At 38.8% G+C, this 4,035-nt stretch overlaps 1 annotated feature.

Moving 5' to 3' along the window:
* Positions 3,835-4,035: a silencer, noted in NCBI's record as "peak5207 fragment used in MPRA reporter construct". NCBI's record gives its function as "represses an SCP1 promoter by STARR-seq MPRAs in K562 erythroleukemia cells {active_cell/tissue: K562}" and the evidence as "EXISTENCE:reporter gene assay evidence [ECO:0000049][PMID:32103011]".

The raw sequence follows: 4,035 nt of genomic DNA, 5'->3' as shown, positions 1-4,035 counted from the left end.
CACGGTGGCTCAGGCCTGTAATCCCAGCACTTTGGGAGGCCAAAGCGGGTGGATTGCCTGAGGTCAGGAGTTTGAGAGCAGTCTGGCCAACATGGTGAAACCCCGTCTCTACTAAAAATACAAAAAAATTAGCCAGGCGGGGTGGCATGTGCCTTTAATCCCAGCTACTTTGCTCAGGAGGCAGGAGGCTGAGGCAGGGGAATTGTTTGAACCAGGGTGGTGGAAGTTGCAGTGAGCTGAGATGGCACCACTGCACTCCAGCCTGGGCGACAGAGTGAGACCCCATCTCAAAAAAAAAAAAAAAAAGAAAGAAAGAACAAAAAGGAAAGAAAAAATATAATTGACAATGATTGTGCATATTTATGGGGTACAATGTGATGTTGCCATATATATATAAATTGTATAATGATCAAAATAGGGTAAGAAGCATATCTATTATCTTAAACACATTTACCATTTATTTGTGATGAGAACATTCAAAAACCTCTCTTTTAACTATTTAAAAATATACAATACACTATTGGTAACTAGTCATCTCATTATGCAATAGGCCAGCAGAACTCATTTCTCCTGTCTAACTGTGGCTTTGAATCCATTGACCAATGTCTCACTGTCAGTCCATCCTCTCTGCGTCTCCATCCTCTAGTAACCACTATTCTACGCTCTACTTCCATGAGATGCAGTTTTTACATTCTACATATGAGTGAGGTCATGCAGTTTTTTTATGTTAAGTGAAAAAGGGGTAAGTTTTTTCTAATCAATTTATTTCAAAAGGAATTCTCTCTAGGTTCTGTAGAGAATCACCACTAAGATATATATAATTTTAAAAATAAAATGTTATTAAATATGGTGTTACTAGCAGTTTAAATTACCATTTACTGAAGTCAATGCGGCAGGAGACATCTTGTGGTCAAAGCAGAAATGAAGTGAATTTTTTGAACAGAATAAAGAAATCTCAGAAGATGATAACTTTACATATAGAAGAAAATGGAGGAAAGTTAAATATATGGTATAGAAGACATGAAATTAAAAAAACCAATATAACTATTATGTATAAAAATCTCTGTATGGGCAGGCAGGGTGCGGTGGCTCACGCCTGTAATCCCAGCACTTTGGGAGGCCTGAGGCAGGAGGATCATATGATGTCAGGAGTTTGAGACCAGCCTGGCCAATGTGGTGAAACCCTGTCTCTACTAAAAATATAAAAATTAGCCAGGTGTGGTGGCACATGCCTGTAATCCCAGCTATTCGAGAGTCTGAGGCAGAAGAATGGCTTGAACCTAGGAGGCAGAGGTTGCAGTGAGCCGAGATCGTACCATTACACTCCAACCTGGGCGACAGAGTAAGACTCCATCTCGAAAAAATAAATAAATAAATAAATATAAAAAAAATAAAATCTTCGTCTGAATGGACTTACACAATTTAAGAGTAAGCAAAAAAACCCCAAAGTATAAAAAACAAAGGCTTTTTATTCTAAATATTCAATGTATAGTTTAATATAAAATTATTCAGATCTATTGGTTTTTTATATTATCTGAGTTCTCACTTTCACAAATTAATTGAAATTGGTTACTTTTCCTCTTACACTCCTTCCAATTGTACTATAAATATTAGTAAAGTCAGAAAAGTTAAAAAAGTAGTTAGGTTAGGCTAGGCGTGGTGGCTCACGCCTGTAATCCCAGCACTTTGGGAGGCTGAGGCGGGCGGATCGTCTGAGGTCGAAAGTTCGAGACCAGCCTGACCAACATGGAGAAACTCCGTCTCTACTAAAAATACAAAATTAGCCAGGCGTGGTGGCGCATGCCTGTAATCCCAGCTACTCAGGAAGGCTGAGGCAGGAGAATCACCTGAATCCAGGAGGCGGAGGTTGCAGTGAGCTGAGATCACGCCATTGCACTCCAGCCTGGGCAACAAAAGTGAAACTCCGTCTCAAAAAAAAAAAAAGAAAAGTAGATAGGTTATAAAATTGGTAATTATTGTGTTATATTTGCCTCTATACATCTACATCTATCAGTGTATCATTTATTTATTCATTTATTTAATGACATGGCTGAACCATTTTATATTTTCTGCACGTTGCACGTATTATGAAACTGCAAAGTATATATTTCCTACATATGAGAATATTTTCTACAGAAAATAGTGCTGTTATTACATATTAAAAAACAAAAGTGAGCTTTCACGTACATATTGTTTTGTGTATTTTCTATTGGTCAGCATATTTTTGAGTCATTCATGTTGCTGCGTGTAATAGAGATTTTTGTTGCTGTGTTTCTGTTTTGTTGTAATTTTGTTTTTGCTTAGCAATGACATATATACATATAGGTATATTATATAGTTGTATCAATATGCCACTGTTAGTTTTTGATCATCTATCAAAAATCACCTTAATTGTGCTGACCTTGGGTCCCATCTTTATTAGGATGTCCTAGTTAAAGGATGGAAAGCAGTAATTCTCCATGAGCTCCATCACATGTGATGATGGCAATGTGTAGGTGCCAAGGCTTCCCTTTGCTTTCTGAAAGTTTTTTCAAAAGTCACCTGACAAAAGGCAGATTAAAAGGAAAAAGCTTACAAATGTATTAACATGCACAGGAGTTACAGAAAAAAAATGGGGGCCTTGGAGCAAGACAATACAGGTTACGGCAGCAAAACAGGTTGTGGGACGGAAAACAAGAGGATGCCTGTCTAGCAAATATGGTCTTGTCTTGTAAAGCAGATGAAATCTCTCACAGGTATTAACCCTCAGGGAGAAAATATGGTAAATGTTTCTTTTAGGTCTTCAAAGCTATCAGACCTTCAGTTAATCTTTCCTAGATCTGGACAAGGGAGGGCCTTCAGAGAAAGCCTGGTTGCATAATGCCTATTTTCTCCACAGATGCAAATCTCCCCCACAAAAGACAGTTTTGCAGGGCTACTACTGTTTGCAGGCCCTCAGAACAGCCATCTCAACATAACTCAAAGAAATATATTTTGGGATGAAATATTTGGTTTCCTCCAGATGCCATCTGAACATTACAGTAACTCCATTTGTTATTAACTCAGTTGATCCCAGGGGGCTCCCTAGGTAGCCAAGAGGACTGAGGATGACCTTCTCCAGCAACATAATATCTGTCAAAGAAAGTGGAGGCTACCTCCTATTGCAGGTGAGATGTGAAAGAAGGATCACATTTTGCTCCATCTTTGAGCAAAGAGAGCTTCAATAGCAAGGGAGTTCAATAGCTGTGCTAAGCTTTTGGGCTGCTTCTTCCATGACCTAAGGCAGAGTAGGTAGCTGGGTAGGAAGGGTCAAGGATCTCCGGTCTGGAAGGGCCTCTGTTTTCAAGAGAGTACAGTATGTGACCAGGAATTGCCTCTCTAATGACCTATACTGTGAGGCCAGATAGCACAATTTATTGCATAAGAAACTCATACACAAAATATTGTGATAAACTTATAGAACAAAGCCTCTGGGAACCATGAGAGAAGGTTTATAAAGATGCTATAGTGAAGGAGTCTCTGGGGACACAAATCGAGTGGCTGTTTTATTGTGATTTTTACAGATGTTTAGCACCCTTTGTTGGAGGGGGTTGTTTGCAAGCTAGGCTGATTTGCAAGTAATGATGAATGACAACATAAATAATCTTAAGCAAAATTTGTAAATGATAAATATTTTGCCTCCAGAGCACAAAAAAATGCCTAAAAGATGTTTGGCTTGTTTTAACATTGTGGGTGATAAAAAGGTCAATAGTGTTTTTTTGATAGTGTCAGGGATGGAGTGTCCCTCAGTTTACCAAATAATTTTCAGAACTCTGAACAGGATAGTGGGCTTTGTGCTATGTATGGGGCAATGCCTCATTTTATTTTATTTTTTGAACTCCTTTTTGAGTATCTTTGTGTACTGAATGGGCGTGTCAAATGAATCTCCTCTGGAGGAGGATGTTATCAGTAAGTTTACACCTGTGCTCCTGGAGAAAGTTGGGCATGTTTAAGATCCTGCCAGTAAAGACTGTGTACAACATCGAAGCTGCTGAAGTATCCCATGGGTACACAGGT

The sequence above is a fragment of the Homo sapiens genome, chromosome 5 (assembly GCF_000001405.40).
Source record: "Homo sapiens chromosome 5, GRCh38.p14 Primary Assembly".
In the NCBI taxonomy this organism is placed as follows: domain Eukaryota; kingdom Metazoa; phylum Chordata; class Mammalia; order Primates; family Hominidae; genus Homo; species Homo sapiens.
The sequence above is the reverse complement of the archived record's forward strand: the minus strand, read 5'-3'. Positions and strand labels throughout refer to the sequence as shown.